Source organism: Homo sapiens, chromosome 7, assembly GCF_000001405.40.
Source record: "Homo sapiens chromosome 7, GRCh38.p14 Primary Assembly".
NCBI classification, from domain to species: Eukaryota; Metazoa; Chordata; class Mammalia; order Primates; family Hominidae; genus Homo; species Homo sapiens.
Genome location: NC_000007.14, coordinates 54,992,419 through 55,018,962, shown reverse-complemented (window position 1 = coordinate 55,018,962; position 26,544 = coordinate 54,992,419). Strand labels below are relative to the sequence as shown.

Sequence of the window (26,544 nt, the reverse complement as noted above, 5' to 3'; positions counted from 1 at the left end):
GGCGGAGGAGGGATCGGGAGGAGCAGAGGAGGAGGAGAATGCGAGGAGGAGGGAGGAGAACCAGCAGCGGGGACCCAAGGCCAGCGGCCGCCGGAGGCGGTGGACAGCGGTGGCCCCCGCGGGACCTAGTCTCCGGCGGGAGTGGGGCGGCGCATGGGAGGGGAGCGGGTGCCCTGAGGAGTTAATTTCCGAGAGGGGCGTTCCCAGCACTGCCCCTCTGGACCCGGTCCCCGCGGACTTGCAGGCCCAGCCTATGTCCAGGTCGAGCCAAATCTGTGCCAGGGTCCCCTTCCCCCTTTCCCTTCTTTTGTTTTACAAAGCAAACTTGTACCAGCTTTAGACAGACTGGCCGAGCCTTAGAGCCAGCGTCGGATAATGGCACCGACGGGGAAACTGCTCCTTTATTCGGGTCCCCACCTCCCCTGCAGCACTACGGGACCCTCTCGGGGATCAGAGGCTGGCCTGGCAGCTGAGGAGGTCGCCGTGCCCGCGCGGCAGGGGTGCCAGGCGTCCGAGGTGGTGCTCTAAAGTCCGAGGGTCCTTCAGATCTTGTCAAGCACCCTCGAAATCATCTGAAATGAGGGCACCCAACTCCGGGTGCAGAGACAGGCCTCCTTAATGTTTATTGCAACCAGCCATGGGTACTTTGAAGCCAATGTGTGAAGCACATTACTTCGCAAAAGTGAAGCTCTTGGAATAAAGGCTTGACACAAACAGCCGTGGAGGTGCTTTTAGAGAGGCTAAGTGTCCCACTGCCCCTGTAGCTCCCGCAGGAGAAATGCCAGGGAAACTCGCGGAAGCTTTGGCCAAAAGAAACTGAGCTTTTTTGGGCTGCAGGAACTTGAGCTATATTCCTTTGGCAAGTCCACCCCATCCCCACTGTTCCTTCTCCTGCAGTAAAAATGTCCTCTAGGTCCATGTTACAGCCAGACCCCTCCTCTCTTCACGAGATTCACTAGGACCTTCAGGCCTGGTTCAACAACCCTGATCTCTCGGCTCTGTCAAAAATCACAATCCTGAAGTAAGTGAAGCTACAGACCTGCCCTTTGCTGTCTCTGAAGGGGAGCAACCTTACATCTTTCCTCCTCATCCAGCAAAATGTTTGTGCCTGGGTCTCGCACCCTGCAGCCTGAACGGTGGGGTTTTTCACCAGGGCAAGCGCAGACAGACACAGGTCTGCTCACTGCCCGCACAACCTGGAACTTCCCTGTGAATTAGGAGAAGTAATCTGTTCCTTTGTTTTAACAAATCAGTACAGCCACTGTGCGTTGAAGTCATGCCCTGAATGCAGAGGCCATGAAGGCTCTGCAGGCATGTGTGTGCTTCCTGCACACCTGGGCTGAGAGCAGTCCGTAGAAACACAGAAAACAAAACTAGAGAAAGGCAAATGGGAAGCACAACAGTGGAACATAAAATGAAGACAGGAGTGAGTCTTACAATAAAAGACCTGAATACAATAAAGTCCTGTGCATTCACTTAACAAGGGCTGCAAATTTGGTTTTAAACTATATTTTCTGTCAAGGGAATGTGACCTGTGTGTACAAGTCACAACACAAATCAATTTAAGCTACAACTGATTTGTAAGACTGTACAGGAATTTCTTTGAGTGCCCAAAAAGACAGCATGTAAGAACATCAGTTCTCACTACGTTAGGACTATATGAGACAACAGCCTTCATAGTACGGCTTGTATATTCTTCAATGTGATCTGATAGCATCACAAGAAACAGAGCTTTTTGTAAAGAATTACTAGACACACACATAGCACAATACTGGGATGGATTCCAGGGAACAGAGAAGAATGGGTTTGCTGAACATCTTCATGGGACATCTATGTAAAGTTTGAGTTTCTCCTTTGAGCTTTTGATACAAAAGCTGACATTCACGTTGATTTTGTAGTCCTTGGCTAGTACCTGGAGTGTGCTGATAACTGTGTTACTTGGTAAGTAAAAAACTGTATGGCCGAGCAGGCACTAATGAAGTCCTCTTAAGAGAGATAAGTAGCCTGGCATAGTTAGGGCCCTGCACAGTTAGGGCTCTAGCTCACAGCCTCTGTGGAGGGTGGTCCTAGACCATGGCCCGGACAGAGGCTGGGTGTGTGTGCCACCACCACAGGAATGACAATAGTGGCCCAGTTGCTGTGTTAAGCATTGGTCAGACTAAGCTTATCTGATAACCTGTGAGCTGGTTAATACTTGTATCTGCCTTTTATAGCAATGTGATGCTGTGGCCGGGAGAAGTGACCAGGATACCAAGGTATACTTGCTAGTATGAGAGGCCAACTTTGAATCCAAGGCAGAGCCGTGTTTTACCCCTCTTGTCCAGCAACGCTTCAAAACCTGAGACAAATGGTGATGTCAGGACCTAAAATTCTATTTCATAATGTCTTGGAAATTTGTTAGGGTGAGTAATACCAAAATTTCTGCTTGGCCAAAAAAATTATAGATAAAGCCTTCATGTATGCTATATTAGCAAGTATGTACTAAGACTCTAGTATTTCCCTTAATAAATCTCATAAGCGTCTGTCAATTTTAATAACACAGATGGTTCCATCCCTTTGCCAGCTGTACATGAGAAACTTTTTTCCTCTGATGAGTGGTTATCCTCTTAGAAGAAGTTTCTGAGTATGTTGAATAAGAGTTTAGTCTTGTCTATAAGGAATGTGGCTCTGAATTTCCTAAAACCAAATGCTCTGTGAAAGGGGAGGAGAAACACGTTATTTGGCAGGGTGAAGATCTGAGGTCTTCAAATATTCTAAGTTCCATCTTAGGCAAAAGGCATTTGACCACCTGTTTTCTCTGGCTTAGAGGTCAAAGTAAAGATTGATTAGGAAAAAAAAACATAGTGGCAGATTTTAGACTTTCAAAAATATGTTTTATAAGTTATTGGAGCTAAGTAAAAGTAGAATAAGCTATGTCAGAGTGGAAAGGGCTTTTTTGAGAAAGATTTTTGTGCAAGAACAATAAGTACTAATGGAGGTTGTGAATTAAGGACTGACACAGGTTCCTTCCAACCCTAAAGTTCCTTAAGAAAATGCACTTCTAAAATAGGTTTTCACTTAAACATGTGTTCACTTGACAGCTCTTCTAAGGATATATGTTAAGGAGATACAAGAATCTGGTAACAGCTTTGCCTCTAGGGAGGAGAACTAGGTAGCTCGGGGTCAGGGGTTTAGAGGGAGACTTGTTTTTCAATTTGTCCTTCTGTACCATTGGGATTTTGTACCAGGAGCATGCCTCACCTATTTCTGCAAGGTAAGTGTGGCCCCTGCTGAGGTTCAGGGACACTCCTGGGGGCAGGCTTTCATGGTTTCTGAGACTGTTTATTCCTTCTCCTTGAAGGAAGTCATTTGCCTTGAGCTCTGAGTTGAGACCCATCTCTTGCAGAATGTGGAAGAAGCAGCTTTTTCAAGGGGTAATGTGCTGACAGAAAACTGCTGAAGCATTTCTCCTTTGTCATTAGTATGCTTCATCATCTCTAGAGTTGAGGGTTACATGTCACTATAGGAGGCACTATTGGCGCTCCATTCTAGCAACAAGTAGAAAGCTGAGCAAACCGAAAAATTAACACCTCTTCTTAGCTCTTTCAGAGAATTGAGGTCATTGGGCAAACCACTGCCCCCCAAATTGGAGAGACAGGCAAACACAGAAGCACAACCTCCAGAGGAAGAAACCAGCAGACAGAAACCTCCAAGGACCCAGTGCCGGCTGGGAAAGTTTGCCCTGTAATTGAGAAATTGCGGGAGGCTCAGTGTGGGCAGTTCTGCAAATTAAGAACTCCAGCAGAGCCCAGTCATGGTGCAGGGTAGTATGAGACACTTGAGAGTGTTACCTCCTGGAGCTCTGCTAGGTCCTTACCACGAATATTAGGGGGAAAATCTCATTATGCTTCTGGCAGTGGAAGGAGAAGAGGAACCATTTTGAAATAGGTTGGAACATTCTATTATTAATAGAAGGTCTGCCCTCAGGAGAAATTATTTCACCAGAGGCCTAACCTGGTGTTTTATCAGAGGGTGACCTACCCAGAGCAAGGGAAATATACAACTCCACCCCCCTCCAACAGTTCTGTACCATCTAAGGGGCTGGGGAAGCTGAGAAGCAAGCATGAAGTTCACAGTCCAGGGACACAGGCTCACTGGAAGACTGTGACATGCGGCAGGACTGTGCAACACTCCCTCTCCCCACAGCTTGTCACTACGTCACTAGAAGCCTCTTTACTACAGCTCCTCTTACCCAGTATATCATTTCCACATTGCAAGGCACACTAAAAGGCAAAGACGCAGTTTGAAGAGACTGCACAAGCATCAGAACCAGAATGAGACATGACACGAACGTTACAACTAACTGCTGTGGTTTGAATGTGTCCCCGAAAAGTCCATATATTGGAAACTTAACCCGCTGTCCTCATGAATGAATTCACATGGCTCTCATGGCGGTGGGTTAATTCTTGTGGGAGTGGCTATGTTATAAGAGTAAGCTCTCTTCACACGTGATGCCCTCTCCCATGTTATGATGAAGCAAGAAGACACTCATCAGATGCTAGCACCAAGCTCTTGGACTCCCCAGCCTCTAAATCAGCCTAAATCAGCTTCTTTTGTTTATAAATCACCCAGTTTGTGGCATTCTGTTATAACCACAGTAATTGGACTAAGACATTATCACATCGGAGTATTAATTATAAAAAAACTATGATTAATAGGCTAGGAGTTTTAATGGAAAAAATAGGCAACATGTAAGATCAGATGGATAATGTAAGCAGAGCCATGGAATTTTTCTTTTTTTTGAGACAGGGTCTGGCTCTGTTGCCCAATCCAGAGTGCAGTGGCGTGACCTTGGCTCACTGCAACCTCAACTTCCCAGGCTCAGGTGATCCTCCCACCTTAGCCTCCTGAGTAGCTCTGACTACAGGCATGCATCACCATACCTGGCTAATGTTTTGTAGAGATAGAGTTTCACTATGTTGCCCAGGCTAGTCTTGAATTCCTGAGAGATGAAAGTTTTAAGAAAGAATTTAAAAATTCTAGAGATCAAAAACACTGTAAAAGAAATGTAGAATACTTTTGAAGTACACATTAGTGGGCTGAACATGCTTGAGGAAAGAATTTCTGAGATTGAAGATACGTAAACAGAAACTGCCAAAACTGAAAAACAGAAAGAAAAACGACTAACAAAAAGAACAAAACAAAACTTTCAAGAACTGTGAGATAATTACATGTAATGGGAATACTGTAAGTCAAAGAAAGAGAAAAAGGAGCAGAAGCAATATTTAAAGCAATAATACCAAAAATTCCTCCAAATTAATGTCAGACAACAAATCACAGATTCTGGAAGTTCAGAGAACATCAGGAAGATATATGCCAAGAAAACCCAAACAAACAAATGATACCTAGGCATAACATATTCACACTTCAGAAAATCAAAGGTTAACGAAAAATTCTTAAATGAAGCCAAAGGGAAAAAACACCTTACCTGTAGAGGAGCCATAAAGAAAATACCTATAGAGAATATTAGAATTACATCCAACGTATCCTCAGAAACCATGCAAGCAAGAAGAGAATGGAGTGATCTGGTGTATGTCTTCATCTTTTTGGGCTTCTGTAACAAAATAACATAAAATGATTTACTTGTAAACAACAGAAATTTATTTCCCATAGTTCTGGAGGCTGGGAAATTCAAGATCAAGGTATTTGCAGATTTGATGTCTAATAAGGGCCCACTTCTTCATAGATGGCCATAATTTCACAGTGCCCTCACATGGCAGAAGGACCAAGGCAGCTCTCTGTGGTCTCTTTTATAGCACTAACCCCATTTGTAAGGCCTCCACCCTCATGACATAATCCCCTCCCAAAAACACTCTCCCCTGATAACATCATTTTGGGAGCTTACATTTCATCATATACATTTTGAGGAGACATAAACATTCAGTCCATTGCAGTATATTTAGACCACTAACATTTAAGGTAATTATTGACATAGTTGGATTAATAGCTACCATATTTATTACTATTTTCTATTTGCTGCCCTTGCTCTTCTTTTCTTCCTTTCTTTTTATTTATTTGCTTGTTTATTTTAGAGGCAGGGTCTAACTGTCTTCTAGGCAGGAGTGAAGTGACATGATCACAGCCCACTGCAGCCTCAAATTTCTAGGCTCCGGTGATCTTCTCATCTCAGCCTCCTGAGTAGCTGGGACTACAGGCACAGTCCTAGCTAATGCCTGGACTTTTTAAAATTATGTTTGTATAGATAGTGCCTTGCTATGTTGCTCAGGCTGGTCTCAAACTCCTGGCTTGAAGTGATCCTCTCCCCTTGGCCTCCCAAAATGTTGGGAGAAAAAAATCTAGGGCAACTGATTTTAAAAAGTTAAAGACTAAAATAATTGCTATGCTAAAAAGAGGAAATCGAATTATACAAAATGCTGTGTAAAATCCACAGAGGCAGAAAAAGTGTGGAAAACAAAAATAGAAAAAATGAGCAAGAGTGTGGTGGCTCACGCCTATAATCCCAGCAAGAAAATCAGCAAAACCAAAAAGTGATTCTTCAAAAAATCAATAAAATTTATAAGCCTCTCACCAGGCTAAGAAACAAAGAGAGAATACACAAATTATGAATATCAGAAATGAAAGAAGGAACATCACTACTGATCTCATGAACATTGAAAGGATAATAAATGAATATTATGAACAGCTATACCCACGAATTTAACAACCTACATGAAATGAACCAATTCCTTGAAATAGAATGTACCAAAAGTCATACAAGAAGAAATTGCCAATCAATATAGGCCTATATCCACTATAGAAATTGAATAAATAATTAATAACCTTCCAAAACAGAAAGCACCAAGCCCAGATGAGATCAGTGCTGATTTTCGTCAAACATTTAAGAAAGAAATTACATCCATTCTCTACAATCTCTTCCAGAAACTAGAAGTAGAGGGAAGACTCCATAATTAATTTTGTGAAGCCAGAATTACCTTAATAGCAAAACCAGACAGAGATATTACAAGAAAGGAAAGAAAACTGTAGACCGATATCTTTTATGAACATAGATGTAAAAATTCTCAAGAAAATATTACAAAATCAAATGCAACAAAGTGTAACAAAGTTATACATGATGACCAACTCCGATTTATTCCAGATATGCAAGACTGGTTCAACATTTGAAAACTCAATTAATGTAGTTCATCACATCAACAGATCATATCAATAGATAAAGAAAAATTACATGATCATATCAATAGATACAGAAGAAAACATTAGGCAAAATCCTACACCTATTCATGATAAAAATTCTCAGCAAACTAAGAATAGAGAAGGATATCCTCAACTTAATAAAGAACAGCTACAAAAACCTATAGCTAAAATCAGGAACAAAGCAAGGATGTTTCCTTTCACCAATGCTTTTCAACATTGTATTAGAAGTCCTAGCTAATGCAATAACACACAATAAATAAATAAAATGAATACTGATTGGGAGGGAAGAAATAAATCGTGTTTGTTCACTGATAATGTAATTGTCTCTTAGAAAATCCAAAAGAAACAATAAAAAAGCTCCTGGAACTAATAAGCAGTTATAGCAAGTGAGCAGGATACAACGTTAACATACAAAAGCCAATCACTTTCCTATATACCAGCAAAGAACTAAGGGAATTTGAAATTAAAAACACATTACCATTTACATTAACACCCTGAAATGGAATACTGAGGTATGAATATAAGAAAATATGTATAAGATCTATAAGAAAAAAACAAAAAAACTCTGGTGAAAGATATCAAATAACTAAATAAATGGATCAATAGTTTGTGTTCATGGTCAGAAAGACTCCATAATGTCAAAATGTCACTTATTCCCAACTTGATTTATAGATTAATCCCAGTCAAAGTTCGAGCAAGTTATTTTGTAAATATTGACTAATTGATTCTATGGGCAAGCAAAAGACCCACAATAGCCAACTCAATATTGGAGAACAAAATTGGAGGATCAACACTACCTGACTTCAAGACATATACAACTACAGTAGTCTAGACTATGTGGTATTGGTGAAAGAATAGACAAATATATCAATGGACCAGAGAGATCAGAAACTGACGCACATAAATTTAGTCAATTGATCTTTGACAAAAAAGAAACACAATACAATAGAGCAAGTATAGTCTTTTCAACAAATATTGCTGGAACAAATGGACATCCACATGCAAAAAATGAATGTAGATACAAACCTTACACACTTCATAAAAATTAACTCAAAACTGATCATACATATAAATGTAAAATGCAAAACTATAAAACACCTAGGAGATAACGTAGGAGAAAACCTAGATGACCTTAGGTATGACAATGACTTTTTAAGTACAAAACCAAAGGCACAATCCATGAAATAAATAATTTATAAGCTGGAGTTTATTAAAATTAAAAACTTCTGCTCTGAGAAGGACAATGCCAGGAGAAGAAGACAAGCCATATACTGGAGAAAAATTTGCAAAAGAAATATGTGATAAAGGATTGTTATCCAAAATATGCAAAGAACTAAACTCTTAAAAGTTAATAATAAGAGGATAAATAACCTGATTTAAAAATGGGCCAAAGCCCTACACAAACACCTCATCAGAGGATACACTGATGGCAAGTAAGCATATAAAAAGATGTTCAACATCATATGTCATTAGGAAATTGCAAATTAAAACAACAGTGAGATACCACTACACATCTGTTACAATGGAAAAAATTCAGATCAGTGACAACACCAAATTCTGATGAGGATGTGGAACAATAGGAAGTCTCATTCATTGCTGATGGGAAGGCACAATGGTACAGCCACTTAGGAATGCAGCTTAGCAGTTTCCTATAAAAGTGTACATACTCTTACCATATGATCCAATGATTTCTCTCCTTGATACTTACCCAAATGAGTTGAACACTGTTGTCCACATAAATCTGCTCATGAATATTTATAACAGCTTTATTCATAACTTCCCTAACTTAGAATCAACTAAGATGTCTTCATGTGGATGAGTGGATAAATAAACCATGGTACATGTGGACAATGGATTGTTATTCTGTGCTAAAAAGAAATATGCTATCAAGCCATGAACTGACATGGAGGACACTTATGTGCATGTTGCTAAGTGAAAGAAGCCAATCTGAAAAGGCTACATACTTTATGATTCCTGCTGCAGTCATGTGCCACGTAATGACATTTCAGTCAACAATGGCACCCATATACAATAGTGGTTTCATAAGATTATAATACCATAATTTTACTGTACTTTTTCTATGTTTAAATACACAAATATTTACCACTATGTTATAATTGCCTACAGTATTCAGTACAGTAACATGTCAGATAGGTCTGTAGCCTAGGAAAAATAGACTATACCATATAACTTAGATGTATAGTAGGCTATATCATTTTGGCTTGTGTAAGTTCACTCTGTTATGACCATACAATGACAAATTCACCTAATGACACACATCTCAGATCATATTTTCATTGTTAAGTGATGCATGACTATATATGACATTCTGGAAAAGGCAAATCTATGGAGACGGTAAGGTGATCAGTGGCTGCCAGTGGTTGGCGGGAAGGAGAGATGAATAGGCAGAACATAGAGGATTTTTAGGGCTGATAAACTATTCTATACCATATTTCAGTGGTGGATACCTGTCATTTTACATTTGTAAAAACCCATTGAATGTACAACACCAAGAGGGAACCCTAACATAAACTATGGACTTTGGGTGATAATGATGTGTCAATGTTGGTAATCAGTCGTAAAAAGACACCACTTTTGGGGGGATGCTATGTATGTGTGTGCACAGGGGTATACAAAAACTCTCTATATTTTTAGCACAACTTTTTTGTGAACCTAAAACTGCTCTAAAAATAAAGTTTATGAATTAACAACAACAATAAAAAAACATGACTGCATGTTTGAATGCTAGTTTCAGCATCGTTGAGATGTTTGTTAATTACTTTGCAGAGGGATCTTATAGAAGGTTTCTGTATCCTTCACAATGCTTCCCCCCTAGTGACAATTTTACAAATGAGCTTAAATAATTTTGTTCAAGGTATTGTAGCTTGTTTCAGGGACAGATGTTACTAGAAACACTAGCCTGGAGATTGTAACTGGTGGTCTGAAAACCAAGTTCAGGGTACAGATGTAGTTTTGTGAAGTCCATTCAATGTTCCTTTTAGTTTAATTAATGGCAACACTTAAAAATCAGAAGGTTTTACATTTAAACTGTAGACTTTGTGTTTCTCTCGGAAAATGGGAATTGTTGGCTAACTGTGTTTGCTTTCATGGAAGATGGCAGGTGGCTAAATGGTAACTGTCCTCTTTAGGAGGTACATTTGATCTCCAGTTCACGCTGGAGCTGCCATCCTGATTCTCTTGTTCATGGGTCTGTGAGGTCACTGTAGGCATTAGAGTTTGTAACTCATCCCCCGTGGTTAAATCATGATAGTGCCACTTTATAGGTATGCTTCCTATCTCTGCTTTTCCCCTCTCCTTATCTTTCTTTCTTCATTCGTCTCTCTCTCTCATCTCATATATGTGTACATATGTTTTTGTTAACAGGTTTTTGTCCAGATGCCATAATACATTATATATCATGATAGACATCTCTTTAAATTGCCTATTTCAAATATGGAGTAATATTCAAGCACAAATGTTTATCACAGCTCATGATTATCCTTATAGGCAGACTTTCTAAAAACCAGTTAAACATTTCTGGAAGCAAATTCAGTTCTGTTGCAGAACAGAGAAAAAAGGATCTATCCATTAATTTATGGTACATGTGGAATGACCATGTTCCATGAGTTGAACATGAGTTGGCTTTGCAGGTAATCACGGGTAGGAGATGGAGGTTTAGGAAGGTGGCTGGAGTCAACTTCACTGCCAATCCTACAAAGCAGCAAGTTTTGTCTGGCTAATTTGTCTATAAACTGTAATAAGTGAGAATGAGTGCTTATTAGGACACAACTAAAGAGACATTTTGAAGCATTTTAGCTATGTCTGATTTCATTATTTTAATTATTGTAATTATGTCTCATCTTATGTAATAAAGGTCCTGGAGCAAAGACCTATTCTCAAGCTTATATTCTTCCAAGGAGAAACTCAAGGCAGGTCACCAACTGAGAAAATTGTGTCACTTTATTTATTTTTTTTCACAAGGAATATAAACAGAGGGAATGAAGCTTCCACATGTACTATAGAAGGAAATAAATCGCTTTTGAGAGGAGGTCTCCAGAAGCTAGATTTCAAGTGGCATTTTTAGATGGCAGAAAATCTGGAGGGTCTGCAAGGTCAAAAATATGTAGGCTAAAAATGACAGGGCTAGAGAAATCCAAAGCAAATTGGTGTTCTATTTCTGCAATTGAATGGAAAATTAGAGTTTCTAGGGCCCCTCCAAAAAATCAGCAGAAATTCTTGCAGTTGTTACTTTTAAGGGACTGAGCTTACAAAGCCTCAGTCATTGAAACAAACCTGGGAGGGACCTCACAGATAGTTCTTCGCCATTTTTTAGATGACAAGGTAAGCACCTTGTCCAAATTACTTGTTTCACAAAGAGACAAAGGATTAATAAATAATATTTTATTAATAAAATAAAACACATAGGAGTTTTCAGGGTTGTTGGCTATTTGATTAAAATTCAGAGTTGGAGTAAATGGCATTTACTCAACACTCATTTATCAAGAGCCAGAGGTGGCAGGATATATGGGGTCACTCACTAGTTCCTGCCTTTGCAGAACTTACAGTCAATCTACAAAAGGTCACCTAAGCTAACCAGGGATGTGTGTGTGTGTGTGTGTGTGTGTGTATGTGTAAGACGAAAAGTCTTTCTACTCTTCCATAATCAATAATTTCACTGGTTTCTCAACACCATAAAAAATAGGATGTTTTGCTATCCACAGTTAAAATAAATGTCAAACACAACTAGTTAGTGGTGACACAAGCATTGGAATCCTCAGTGCCTGCATTTAGGGCAATTGCTGTGTCACTGGAGATTAGGGAGTTGTTCTGACATTGTAGCATTTAGTTTTGTCACCTGCTAAGATCATTTGGCAGGTGTGCGCTGCCTTTCCTTCTTAGTAATCTCACCGAGGCCAGTTAATTGTAGCCTAAAGGAGAAGCGTAGACTGCTTCTGTGATCAGAAGCATCTGTTTTTTCTCCCCATTGGTGGATGGTTCTTGGCGGTCCTTGGAAGTCCGCCATAGGCTTGCATAACCTGCTGATGGTAGGACTCCTGTCACTCTGGGGCAGAGGCTCCCTGAACCAGGCCACGCCTCCCCAGGTCACTTCCTCCTCCCTCTTGTTGGCCAGCGACCTCCTCCTCAGCCTGGGAACAGAGGGAGGGGAGCAGCCCCTTGGGCCGGACTCGTAGGTGGCATTCTAACGATGGGTGTGTAGAGAGAGAAACACCCCCTCATTAGGCTCACGGGAGGTGCAGGTTGTTTGTCACTCATCATATCACAGCACACCTTAATGTATACAAGAAGGTAGTCAACCCCTTGTTAAATATTTAAACGGTATATTTTATATATGCTTAAGATTAAATTACTTTGTTTAATATATAAACATACATTATATTATCATACATTATATATTTCTATAATATGTTCGTTGTACACACACTCATTCTATGTATTTGTGGAGAGGAGAGCGAGATAACATGGAGTATCCAAATGAACAGGGACCCAAAAATGCCAGGGCCATTTGCCATTAACTGTGGCTTTGAGCACATGATATTTTTTCAGTCTCTCCAAGCAACAGCCTTGTGTGATCTTCTGTGGACTGGCGTACGTGTTTGTACACAGGATTGCTCTGGCTTGAAATAATGCAGGGACAGCACCCGGCACGTGGTGAATTCTTGCCAGAACCATTCTGCACAGGCGTTTTTTCCAGCTGAAAGGTTGCCTATATAAAACCCTTAAAGGGTTACTGTTCTTTCCTTTCCCTGAAAGTTTTGTGAGCAGCTCCATATATGCAGATAGAGCAAAAAAAGCCTGAAGTGGAGTCCAGCCCATTAGATTTCTCCTTTAATTAGTCGTCATATGAACAATCAAAACATAGAATTAGTCATTAATTTTTTTAAGAAGAACCCTTCAAGCCTCCAATGGCGCAGCTTAGCAACTATGACTTTTCTCCAAGATTTCTCATTATGAACTTTGAGGACCACACTGTTCCTTCCCTCAAAAGAACTGCTATTTGTTGCAGCAGCTGCGAGGGAAAAAGGGCCGCACGGGCCCCAAAGCGGCTGGCATGGGAAGGCGTGTCCTGCTGTCGCAGATGGACACGCTAATAGGGGCCTGGGACCAAGGCGATTAACTGGCCTGTCCTGCGCGGGCTGGGGGGCCTCCGGGCCAGCGCCCTTTCACAATAGCTCTCGACTGCATTTCTTCAGGGTCGCTGTCAATCCTGCGTCCCTTCGCGTGGGGTGGGGATGGGGGACTCTGATCCTGCGCTGAACCTGGGGTTTCAGAGCAGGTGGCGGTGACTGTGAGCTGCGTGCTTGCGCGCGGCCTTCTGCGCCTGGCAGGGGAAGGTTTCCAGCGCCGGGGGAGGGCTTTGCCGAGGCTGCGGGAGGACCTGGGGCACTGGGCCAGGATCTGACTGGCATTTCACAGGGCTCTCGTGGAGCCCGCAGGACGCGGCCCTGCCTCCCAGGCCTCTCAGCCTCCGAGGCCGTGCTCGGGGAGGCAGTGAGTTCCGATGTGGCCAGAGTTCACTGCCTGGCTCTTTACCCGGCCTTTGCTAATAAGCTTCGGTTTCTCACTGCTTTGTCTTACCAGTTTGGCTCTCCCCCTCCCCCCGCCCCAGAACTTTTTTGTTTATTTATTTTAAATCTTTCTGTCTTATTTGAGGACTTGGAGGCCTCACTGGCCAGGGTGGGTTGATTTCTGCGGGATGGGGCAGGGGTATTGGATGCTTTTGCGTCCTTTCCTTTTCTGAATTTGGGATGTTTCTAGAATTTGTTTTTCTAATTATTAGGTGGTCTGCAGTGGCTTTGCCCAGCACCTGGCACAGAAGCCAGCGGTCGCACAAGTCGCCCTGGAATCTGGCTGGGGTCTCCCCACCGTGGGCGGCAGGGAAGGGCAGGTGCCTCAGCCCTCGGGGCCGGGACGCAGGAGCGGCTTCAGCGCCCAGCCCCACTGTCAGGGCCAGGTTCTGACACGGTGACTCCGCAGCCAAGCCCTGAGATCGCCTTCTCCTTCTCTCTAATGGGTCTTTCTGAGCTAGGGTTTCCGCGGACTGAGCGAGGGCGCCTGGCCAGCCTGCCCGGGCACAGTGGTCCCTCCTGCGGACTCGGGGCCTCCGCGCGGGCCTCAACCAGGCCCGCCCTGCTCCCCGCGGCCGCGGCGAACCTGGACCCCCTGCTCTGGCTGCGCGGGGCTCACAGAAGTGCATCCAGGAAATACCATCCTTGGGTTCGTAGGAGGGGACACACCAACGTCCCTCCAAGCCACCAGATTTAACTCATTCTCCAAGAAGTGTGAATAGGCAGACCTGGTCCTTTGACACAGTGCTAAGAGGTCCTCAGAGAAGTGCCCCACAGGAGCCCGAAAACTCAGTTCCACAGCCCGTCTGATCCGAGGGCGACCTCACGGAGGCTCGAGTTTCCCTGAGAAGCTCCCATCTTCCAGAGGAAACACTCGCCCCTGAGCTGCAGGGCCGGGAAGGGAAGCTGCCCACACGCACGCTGGCGGCTCCACACTGCAGGGCCTCAGGGAGCTCAGCTGGCTGTGTTCACTCAGGCAAGGCCTTTACTTGGCTTTAGGAGACCTAAAGACCCCAAGCTCTAGGTCAATATGAAGATAAATTCTGTGTCATGGGACAGTTTCAAGGACCAGCGCTGGTCAGTGCTGGATTTTGCACAGGACCGAAGGCTGCTCAGGGGGTGGAACAGTGGGAAGCCTGTTCTGGGGATGCAGACCCTCTGCTCGCTGGCGAACTCCAGCAGGCCGAATCCCCTGCGGGACCGCCTTCCCCATCATCTCCAAGCCCAGGGTTCTGGTTCTGGCATGTTGCCTGACCCAGGGCACAGCAGTAGTACCTCTGCCTTGAACAGACTGTTAGCTTGACCCAAGAGCCACCTCAGGAGGCTGCGTCCTCAAGGCTGTTCATTCACAGAAGCCACTAAGTCCTTTTTATCTCCAGAGGTAGCCTGGATTCTCTTCTGGTCCCACTCAAGAAAGCCGCGAATGCTCATTGATCTGTCACCTCTCACAGGAGATGTGGGGTGTGGACCTGTGCAGAATAGACATTTGCCTTGTTTCTAGGTCTTGTTTGGGGTTAGGGAGAAAAGTGAGTGGGAGATGGCCTTTAGCTCGTTCCAGTTCGAGGTGAAGCCGTTTCGTTTGTGTAATGAACGCCTCAGTCTTAGGTGCATTCGTGAACATGGTTGACGGACTTTGGCATTGCTTGCTGTCCAAACCCCAAATTATTAAAATAGTGCCCAGCACATATTCCAGTGGGTAAAAAACTGTCAGTAAACAGCCAGTATTCATAGATATTATGGGATAGGTGCTATGCAGAAAAATGAAGGAAGGGGAACAGAGACGGATACCTCCTAAATAAGATGCTCAGGGAAGGGCTAAACGAGAAGGCTGCGTGTGTCTGGGAGGAGCTGCCTTCCCGGTGTGCAGGACTCTACCTTGTTTACCTAGAGAACTGCAGGGAGTCCAGTGTGGCTCAGTGGGGGGGGGGGGGAATGGGAGGGGGGGAAAGGGGATGATGTAGGGGAGGGGTCTTGTAGGGCCTTGGTAGGCTATTGTAATGTTTTCAGCTTCTATTAAAAAATAGATGGAGGTGGTTTACACCTGTAATCCCAGCACTTTGGGAAACTGAGGCTGGAGGATCATTTGAGCCCGGGAATTTGAGACCTGTCTGGGTAACATAGCGAGACCCTGTTTCTACAAAAAATAAAAAAATAGCCAGGTGTGATGGCACATTCCTGAAGTCCCAGTTACACTAGGGGCTGAGGAAGGAGGATTGCTTGAACCCCAGAGGCCAAGGTTGCAGTGAGACATGATCATGCCACTGCACTCCAGCCTGGGTGACAGAGCTAAGACCCTGTCTCAAAAAACAAACAAATAAAAAATAGATGAGAAAAAATTGGAAGACTGTAACAGACAAGTGTCATGCATCATCAAGTTGGTCTTAATGGGATCCTTCTTCCAGTTGTGTCCAATAGGAAAGGAAGGCAGGTAAGAGGCTGCTGCAATAGTTCAGGTGAGACACAGGACTGGCTTGCAGCTGTGGAGCAGGCAGAGAGGTGTGATTGGATTCTGCTTGTACTTTGGAGAAAGAGCTGACATGAATTCTTGACAGATCACATCAGGGGCGTGAGGGACAGACAAGCCAAGGGTGACTCCAAGGTTTTGAACAGCAACTTGGTGATGAGACTTCACTGAGATGAAAAACAGAGAGGGAGGAGAGGTTTGGAAGGAGAAAACCCAAGAGTCTCCTGTGTTTGAGGTACTTTTTAGACTTTCAAGTGGAGGTATTGAGCAAGTGGTTGAATATATGAGCTTGGTTTTCAGGAGAGAGCTCCAGGCAAGAGGTAAAAATTGGGATCATTAATATACAGTTGCTATTTAAAGTCTTGAGATTAAGCCAGATCATAAAGAGATTAGATGAGAATATAAAGGGCATGGAGAAGAGAATCGAGTCTTGAGCCCTGGAGCCCTGCGAGGGGAAGAGACCCAGGAGATGAGGAAGGAGCAGAGGCACCAAAAGGGAGGGATGTGATTGTCCTAGAGAAAGGGGAAAAGCCGCCATTAATCAGCCTTATCCAAAGCTGCAGATAAGTCAGTGGATTCCAGCAAATGGAATATCCTTGGTGTCCTTATCAAGGAAAAGATTCATGGGAGTGATGAGGAAAGAGTCTGATTTGAGTGGGGTTTTAGTTGGAATTTTAATAATCTATTGGAATATTTAGGAATGTTGATATCTTTACAATATATTTTCTGTACCTCCTTATAATATTAAATCTTCATATTGCCTTCCCATTGATGTCTTTTTTTTTTCCATGTCTTTCCTAGGCAGACATCAAGAGAAAAGTTTGCTGTGCCAGGGATCTGAAAGGTGTCTGTGGAAGGAGGATGGCAGGATAGTGCTTCTGCAGATCAGGCGACTGCAATGGGGAGTGAGGGTACTGAAGGGGTGGGCATCAAAGCAGAGTGTCTGAGAGTGCCAGGAAGGAGGAGGAAGGGAACATGGTGGTTGGCAGGCATCACTACCAAGGCTTGCCTTAGAAACGGTGAATGAGACGGACCCTTGAGAAAAGTCACCTGCTTCTGTTTATGTCCACATGTTTTATTAATTTAATTTCATTTACAATTTGAATACTTAATTCACTTGGTTTGAAATTAGTTTTAAAACTGTACAGTGAAAAACCCCATCCCATCTCCAGCCATCACTAGAGATGATCACGCTCATCAGCTCCTTGGGGGTTTTAGTTTGATTTCTGTTGCTTATAACAGCATACCTGAAACTGAGTAACTTATAAAGAAAATGAATTTATTTCTTACATTTATGGAGGCTGGGAGGTACAGGGTTGGGGAACTGCATCTGCTGAGAGCCTTCTTGCTGGTGGGGCCCTCTGCAGAGTCCCCAGGTGGTGCAGGGCATCTCATGTTAAGGGGGCTGAGCGTGCTACATAACATGCTAGCTCAGATTCCTCTTCTTCTTATAAAGCCACAAGCCTCTCTCTCATCATAACACATTGATTCATTAATCTAATATATTAACCTCTTAATACTGCCACATTGGAAATTAAGTTTCAGCATGAGTTTTGGAGAGGACATTCAAACCATAGACGGGTCCTTCCAGAGATAGTCTCTATACATACACTGTTATTTCTGCACTTAAAAAAATATGTAATAGTATATCCTGGAGCTCATTCCATATCAATACTTAAGTGTTACTCATTATTTATTGCCCAGTATTTTTTTTCTTTCTCTCTCTTTCTCTTTCTTTCTTTTTTTCTCTTTCTTTCTTTCTTTCCTTCTTTATTTTTCTTTCTGTCTTTGTTTCCTCTCTTTTTCTTTCTTTGTTTCTTCTCTTTTTCTTTCTCTCTCTTTCTCTGTCTCTCTCACACACACATTCTCTCTCTACCTATCCATCATCTATCTATCTATCTATCTATCTATCTATCTATCTATCTATCTATCTGTCTATGTAGGACACTCTAAATAGATCTGGCTTATTGTATGTAACTATACCTCCATTAAGTTGAAGCTAATTTATTTACCTGGCTTCCTACTGAAGGACACTTAAAGTATTTCCATACAATGCTAACTGAATAACCTGTAATACAATTTCACACATTTGCAAGTAGAATTTGAGTGCTTTGTTTCTAGTTTAAAAATTTTTTATTTATATTCTTTTTAAAAGATCTGCACCTTTAAAATTAAGATAAATTTCTATGCAATAAACTTCAGGCATGAAATGGTTTTATCTTGTTTTTGCATTTCTTTATTGTCTAATGGCATCAAGCTTTGTTCATGTACTAATTAGCCATTTATCTTCAACTTAATCAAGGTATAGTTTACAAGCAAAAGGCTGCATTATTTAGAGTGTCCATTCACTGTGCTGTGACACCATGAGCACTGCTACAATCAAGGCACAGGATGTTTCCATCACCCAGAGAGGTTTCCATGCTACTTTGCAAAACTCTCTGCCTCTGCCGGTGGCCTCCCACAACTAGTGATCTATCTGAGGTCACTACAGAATAGTTTGTATTTTGTATAAGTTCATAAAGAATCTAGATTTCAAAAAGAATCATTCAGTATGAAGCATTTTGTGTTTGGCTTTTGTCACTCAGCTCAATAATTTCCCTCCATGTTTCTGCATTTATTGGTAGTTTGTTTCTTTTTACTGCTGCATAGTACTCCATTGTGTGGCTATACTGCCTTTTGTTTATCCATTCACCACTAGTTAAAAAAGAAGGTGGTGACACATTTCTCTAAATAGTGTTTTATCTCATCAGACTCTAAAACTTTGGCACAGTGATGCTTTTCTTCAGTGTTTCGGGCCTTGACTAGTTTCCCTTTAGGTAAGATCTGGAAGTAGGTTTGGTTGGATAACCGTGGTGTGCCTCAGGAAGGTGTGTGCCCTGCCATCTCTTTGCCGTGCCTAAACCTGCATGAAATGAAACAACAGAAAGTTATTTCCTAGTGGCTATCACTTTGTAGTCAAATATATTTGATTGATGAAGAATACAAGTCACCTAGAATTTATGAGAAGTGTACGTCTCTTGCCTACACCTTATTTAAGATGGAAACCATGGTATTAATTAGTAAATTAAAATTGGATACCGATTTCTCTTCTTGGGTGGGGATGGGGGCACTTTTTCAGACTTCTTGGAAAACCATGGGGAGACTAAATGCTAATGAAATTGCACTGCCTATTTCTCATAAAAAAGCTAATTAAATTACTTTAAATGTTTAGCTGTAGTTGAAATAAAAATCACAGAGATGTCAGAATTTACAATTAAACTAATAGAGATTAGAAAAAGTGCACACATAATACAATGTTAATTACCAATCCAATAGGAGCCTTAATATTTTTGATTTGTTAGGTATATAAATTACAGTAATCTATTTGAGAGGGCTTAAAGTCAATGTGGTATTTAAAAGATATTTAACACCTATCTAATATAAAAATATAAAAGTAAATGGAGCCTAATTCATATATTTTAAAAAGCTATGATGGAAAAAGATAGCAGAGAATGACAAGAGAATAATCTAAACCAAATTATAAATGACAGTGAAGAGTGAAGCAAACGGCCTCAAAATAAATGGACACGAGGCTGGGGGCTCGCATCTGTAATGCCAGCACTTTGGGAGGCCAAGGCAGATGGATTGCCTGAGCTCAGGACTTCAAGACCAGCCTGGGTAACATAGTGAAACCAAAAAATGCAAAAACATTAGCTGGGCGTGGTGGTGGGTGCCTGTGGTCCCAGATACTTGAGACGCTGACATGGAGGATGGATGGTTTGAGTTCAGGATGTGGAGGCTGCAGTGAGCTGAGATTGCACCACTGCACTCCAACTTGGGTGACAGAGTGAGATCCTGTCTCAAATAATAATGATCGTAATAAAAAATGGACAAAAAGTGTGAATGTTTAACTCAAATAGGAGTAAAACAAATAGAGATTAAAAATATTTTTCTTTCTTAGGAAACAGAGAAGAGGAAACTTAAATTATTTTTTAGTAATATATATATAAATATGTAAATATGTTATATATATAATATATGTTTATATAATGCTGGTGAGGTCAAGATGAAACTGGACATATTCCTTGCTGGTAACTTTCTAAATTTTTGAGACCAATATGGAAAAAACTTCAGGATCCACAAAAATGTATCCTTGGGCCCACTGAGTATACTATTAAAGCTATTATTTAGGAATAGTCCAAATACTAAAGCTAATGCTCTGCTAACTTTTCAGTACATGACTTAAATCTCCTTTCATCATGAGTTTGCACATCTGAATCCACTTCAGGATGTGCACTGTGGCAACGAAAATAAATTTTTTTTATCAAAAGTAATTTTAAGCATGTGTTTCAATATTGTAGATTGTATTAGGTTAATTATTGGCATAGAGATAAATTTATCAGAATTATTTGTTCATTTTCCTTACTTTAAACTAAAAGATCAGTTTTTAAAATACTGCAAACCAACTTAATGACCAAAAAAGAGGTAATGGATAGAAAGAAAGATAAATGGAGAGTTGATACAGACAACTTGAATTTGGGGTAAATGAATGAAAGTATTGTTGAAAACACTTTTAACTATGTATTCTGCATTGGTAATAAATTCCACCTAAGGCAATGACAAAAATATTACTAGTAAAGTCTAATATATTTTCTAGTTATGGGTGTTCAACCTGACAGTGTCAAACAAATATAGCATTTTAAAATAAATTCTTTTTATCACATTTCAGGCTTTTAAGTTAGTAAATTTATAAGTAACTGTTTTGGTGTTTCTATGTATGAATTGTTCATATTAGTGTTGAAACATGCATTCAGTCCCAGCTTCACCACAGTTTACCAGCTAAGGTATTATCAAACTTTTTTTTTAATCTTAGCAAATGTGAAAAGATTGCTTAAGCATTCATTTCTATTAGTTTTTGTTTGTTTGATTGTTTTAGATTTCTTAGCTGTTTAAGCAAAGAAAAGAGGGAAACTAAATCCCAGATACTAAACATGAAGAATAAGAAGTTCAGGACTCTTTCACTTACAAGTGACAGAAAAACAAAATATCCAGAATTGGCTTAAGCCAAAAAGAGAGAGAGAGAGAGAATTTACAGGCTCCATTTCTAAAAGCCTAGAGCGAGTGGCAGGTGCAGCTTGTGACAGCCTGTGAGCCAAATCTGGCCTCTGCCTGATGGAGGGCCAGCCAGCTAAGGATGGTTCCTACACCTCTTCAATGGTTGGGGGAAAAAAATCAACAGAAGAACAGTTTTTCAGAGCATGTGAAAATTCAAATGTCACCGTCCATAAACAAAGTTTTATTGGACATAGCTCTGCTCTTTTGTTTACACATTGTGCTGCTTTCATGCTAGGATAACAGAGCTGAGGAGTCGCAACAGAGACCGCATGGCCCACATGGTCTAGAAGATTTACTAGTTGGCCCCTTAGAGAGAAAGTCTGTGGCCCTGCCCTGGAAGCTCAATGGTGCCAGCACTGAGCTACATCCACTGGCATCTTTCTACTTGCCCCCACTGACTTCCTGTGTGTCGGCTCCATTTTCATACTGTGTGGGCAAGAGGGTGGCAGCATCACACATGAGCTTCTGGCCCACTCAGCAGGGGAAAGGGGAAGGAGAAATTCTCTTTCCCACTCAGCGCAAAGAACCGAGATTGAGTCCCATTGGTCTGGCTTGGATGTGGTGTCTGTCTCCATGGCAGAGTGCTCTGATGGTCCAGGAGTGGGTCACTCACCACTCCTGGAGCTGGGAACCCACCTGTCACTCCCCAGTCTCATAGATTGAGCAGGGGTCAAGGCAGAAGTCGATCATGCAGGGACACATAGACCATGTTAAAACTTGAAGTTTTATTCTATATTTAGTGGGATCATGTAATCAGATTTATATTTTAAAAAGATGTCTCTCCTGGCAACATAGAGAATGAACTGGGGGGGCGCAAGAGTGGAGGTGGAGAGGCTAATCAGGGGTGGTTCTGCTGGAAAAAAAACAAAAACAAAAACAAAACAGATAGTTTATTTAACCAGGATGGTGGCTAGAGAGAAAGAGATATGGGCAAAGTCTAGAGAAGCTTAGAAGTTTTAAATGGATAGGTTTACATCTGAGGATTGAGGGAGAGGGAGATAATGAGAATGCATACTGCATTTCTGGCTGGCACAAGTGGGTAGATGGGCTCATTCTCAAGTTGGGACTACTGAAGAAAATGAGGATCAAGATGATGAATTTGTATTGGAAATCCTTACATTTGGGCTTCTCTTGAAATATGCAAGAAGCAATGCCAAGTAGGCAGTAAGAAAATCAAGTCTGAAGCTCAGAGGTGTGGTGTAGGATGGAAAATAAAATTTTAAACAGTCATCAATCTGTCAATAATATTTAAAGTCAGGAGAATGAATGAGTTTATGGGGAGGGGGGATGCAGGGGGAGAGGAGAGAGATGGAGAGAAAGAGAAAGAGGAAGTCTCACATTGATCTTGGAAACCACATTTATGACTGAGGTGGAGGAGGATGAAGTGGCAAGTAAGATTGAGATGAAGCAGACAGATAGGTAAGGAAGACGGGGAAGCCCAAGGTAAACAATGATTCACAAAGGCGGAAGTGCTCAGAATGCCAATGCTGCTGAGAAGCCACGGAAGAGAAAGATAAAGTATTACCCATTGGATTTGATTATGTTGAAGTCATTAGTGACCTTAGTGAGTGCTGTTTTGGGAAAGTTTGGGGGTGGAAGAAAGATTTAAGTGGGCTGAAGACTGACTCAGATCCTGTTTTTATGGGACTCTTGTCTTTTGATTCTATGTTTTTATGATTCCACGTCTGCTCTTTGAACCTGGTCTCTCTGTTTTGACGTTCAGACTTGACTCAGCCCCAATCTACAAGGTTTTGCTCCAATCTTAATTATTCCCTTTGGAACCCAATTATTGGTTCTGGCCCACTGAGCATCCCTGACAACACATGAGCTAGCCTTTAAGTGAGAGTAATTGAAGCTTACCCATCCAAGTCATGGCATGTGAAGCTCAGGCTTCAGCTCAGCTTACCACTAATTGCATAAAACTGGAAAGTTACTCAACCTCAGTTTCTTCCTCAGTGAAGTGAGACCTAATCACTCCTGTTTTACTATATCATTGTGAAAATTAAAGCTCTTGGTACATGATGGTTGCTCAATCAATGTTGGTTACCTCCTTCCACCTTTCCTGTCCCTCTGATAAATGAATGTCCTTGTATCTATCTTTCTGTGGAGCATTTGTAGATTGAAATGAGTATTTCTAAAGTGATGTATTGTAATCAAGGAATGTAAATGCTTCTCAGTGACATTTCTTTATTCATCCAACATTTATTTATCAAGCACCTTCCATGTGACAAGCACAGAGCTCGGATGGGCAGCCAACCATGAACAAGAAGGACACGGCCACGTGCCACATGCACGGGAGGTAGGCAAGTGTGGAACACAGGAGAGTCATGAAGAACATGACTGTGAACTGTGATAGGCACTGGGAAGGAAACAGCAGGGGCTGAGAAACAGAATGAGGGCCTCAGGATGCTTCAAGCGAAGCCATGGAGGAAGGTTTTTCTGAAAATTTGATGTATAAGCTGCTATCTAAAGGGCATGATGGAACCAAGGGCAGTCGTCCTTCTTGGCATTCATTGATAGATGGAGCTATCTGTGGAGACCCCCGAGAAGCTACGGAGGTGCAGGTGTATTCGCCTCTACATTGATTCTACATCTGGGTGGCTATGCATTCACTAACTTATAATGTTTTTCTTTCCTTTTCATCATCTGCCAGGTGAGCAAGTCAATCATCACCTTTTAAACACTTGAGATTTCTAATCTATTTGTGGCTGAGAAATCTAACAATTGTGCTGGTTAGAATTACATAAGGATGACATTGGCTTTGGATGAGGTCTCTCCTGTGAGTGTCGTAAACCAAACTTCAGAGCCTGAGCTGTGTACTAGTGCACTCATTAAACTTCTCAGAGACCAGTTTTGTTCCTGAGATCTTGGTTAAGTTCTGGACAAGTGAGGTTCTAGGTAAGTGGCCTCTGGGCAAGTGAGGTGTTGCTGTGCAATCCTAAGCAATTATGACACAGGTTACCTTTGTAAATTAGGTGGCCAAAATCTGTAGGGCCCTAGGGTGTACGGGATTCACTGTAGGCCTGGGAGAGCCCTGGGCAAATGGACTGACGAGCTCTCTATCTGATGTGGTTTTCTGTCCCTCCACTGATGACTGCCCCTTCTCCCATGCGATAAGGTGTTCCTCCCTCGTCACCCAAATGAGGATCTCTATCTTTGCATTCTCCAGGACAGACACCCCAGCTTAGGAGCATTGTGTTTGATGTAAAAGGAAATGGGGTGGAAAAATATGCAAGTGTCTCATCTCTCCTGTCAAGTGCATGGCTACTTGGTAAGCACTGATTTAGAAACTTGGAGATCTTTTCCATGTATTTGACCTTCAGCTTGACTGGGCACACAGGAGAAGGAACAGAAGAAGAGTGTTTTTATAGCAACTTATCTTCCAGGGATGTCACTGTTTCAACTGAAATTAACTTTCCCCTCCCACAAGAGAGTTTGATGGTGGGTAAAAGGGAAGCAAATTCTAAAATGATTTTGTCTTTAAAGAGAATCAAGAGTGATTGTGGTTCCGAGGTCAGGAGGTCGAGACCATCCTGGCTTACACGGTGAAACCCCGTCTCTACTAAAAATACAAAAAATTAGCTGGGCGTGGTGGCAGGTGCCTGTAGTCCCAGCTACTTGGGAGGCTGAGGCAGGAGAATGGCTTGAACCTGGGAGGCAGAGCTTGCAGGGAGCTGAGATAGCGCCACTGCACTCCAGCCTGGGCGACAGAGCGAGACTCCATCTCAAAAAAAAAAAAAAAAAAAAAAGGAGTGATTGTGTTTCTTGCCTCTTTGTTATAGTATCTCTAACACAGGAGTCCTTTTTTATCATTGTAGATTACATCCTCTACCCCAAGAATGCCACCCTGCTTCAGATCACTCCACTCCAGGGCCTACTGGAGAGACAGAAGAATGTGGGAGAAATGCGAGCTTGAGATGATTTTGCTCTTGTTATTAAAATGCTCTTCTCATTGTGTGGTAAAATTACAGAAAATGTCTTTCTCTTCAGAAAACAAAGACTTCAGCCCCAAAGAGGGCCCAAGAGAGTTTTAGGACAAATTTGCATCTCTCTGGCAGGAACTATGTATGAATTCAAGACAGAAAAGGAATATTTACATAATGTATACTATATTTCTGTTATAGCTTTCCAGAGAGCTCCCTAGCAAGAACTGGGAAGAGGTATGAGGGGCAAGAAAGCTCCAAGCAGCCTCCCCTACTGAAAGCTAATTGTAGTGGCACTGATTGAAAGGTGGTGGAAGTTGTAGAAAGCCCTAGAGAGCAATCAACAGGCTTAGGGCAGGCTGACCCCAAGACCTTGGGTCACTGTGTGGCTTTGAGCAAATTGCGTAATCTATTTTGGCCCTAATTCTCTCTTTTTAAAAATGAGATTGCACACCAGCAACTGTTGTTGCTCTTTCAGCTTGGAAGTGCTGTCTTTGTGGGTAAATAAGGCATTTTTAAGGCTAGTCTAAATTTACAAGTGAACCTGTGGAGGCCCTGGAAATACACTTACATATTTCACATAGGACTACTGTAGTCACTACAATGAGAAAGAATTTCACTTCCTGCATTGGATCGGGTGGATTAGAGTTGGTGCATATAAAGCAGCTATGACATGAAAATATTCCACAGATGGTAGTCATTGTTATTTTTTTTTTTATTTTTTTTTTTAGATAGAGTTTTGCTCTTGTCGTCCAGGCTGTAGTGCAATGGCGCAATCTCAGCTCACTGCAACCTTCACCTCCTGGATTCAAGCAATTCTCCTGCCTCAGCCTCCCAAGTAGCTGGGATTACAGGCGCCCACCATCATGCCCAGCTAATTTTTATACTTTTAGTAGAAACAGGATTTCACCGCATTGGCCAGACTGGTCTCGAACTCCTGACCTTAGGTGATCTGCCTGCCTCGGCCTCCCAAAGTGCTGGGATTACAGGCATGAGCCACCACGCCCAACCTTGTTATTGCTATTGTGACATTTATAATTAAGATGACATTTTGTATAAAGTCATCACATAAATTGTACATGGAGTTAATGACAACTTTGAAAACAAGACCCCTTTACAGAGAGGGAAAACGCTGAAAAGAAATGTACTCTTAAAAACATGGTTGTATTTGTACAATGGCACTAAGAAGTGATTGTTTTCTTTTTTCTACTTCTCTGCATTTTTATGTTTTTGTTTAAAGAGTATTTACTGCTTTACGATCAATAAACACTAGTTTATTTTGAAA

The 26,544-nt window shown here is 41.9% G+C and overlaps 1 long non-coding RNA gene across 3 annotated transcripts; it reads left to right on the top strand.

Annotated features, from left to right (window-relative positions):
- On the top strand, positions 41 to 26,544 carry LOC105375284 (uncharacterized). Of its 3 annotated transcripts, none has more exons than XR_007060329.1 (4): positions 41 to 2,402; positions 23,551 to 24,234; positions 24,506 to 24,607; positions 25,155 to 25,304. It is a non-coding gene; the product is annotated as an uncharacterized LOC105375284 (long non-coding RNA). The 3 variants fall into 3 exon arrangements; XR_007060328.1 differs by lacking the exon at positions 41 to 2,402 and having other exon boundaries at positions 22,926 to 23,635; positions 23,990 to 24,234; positions 25,155 to 26,544; XR_927272.3 differs by lacking the exon at positions 41 to 2,402 and having other exon boundaries at positions 22,926 to 24,234.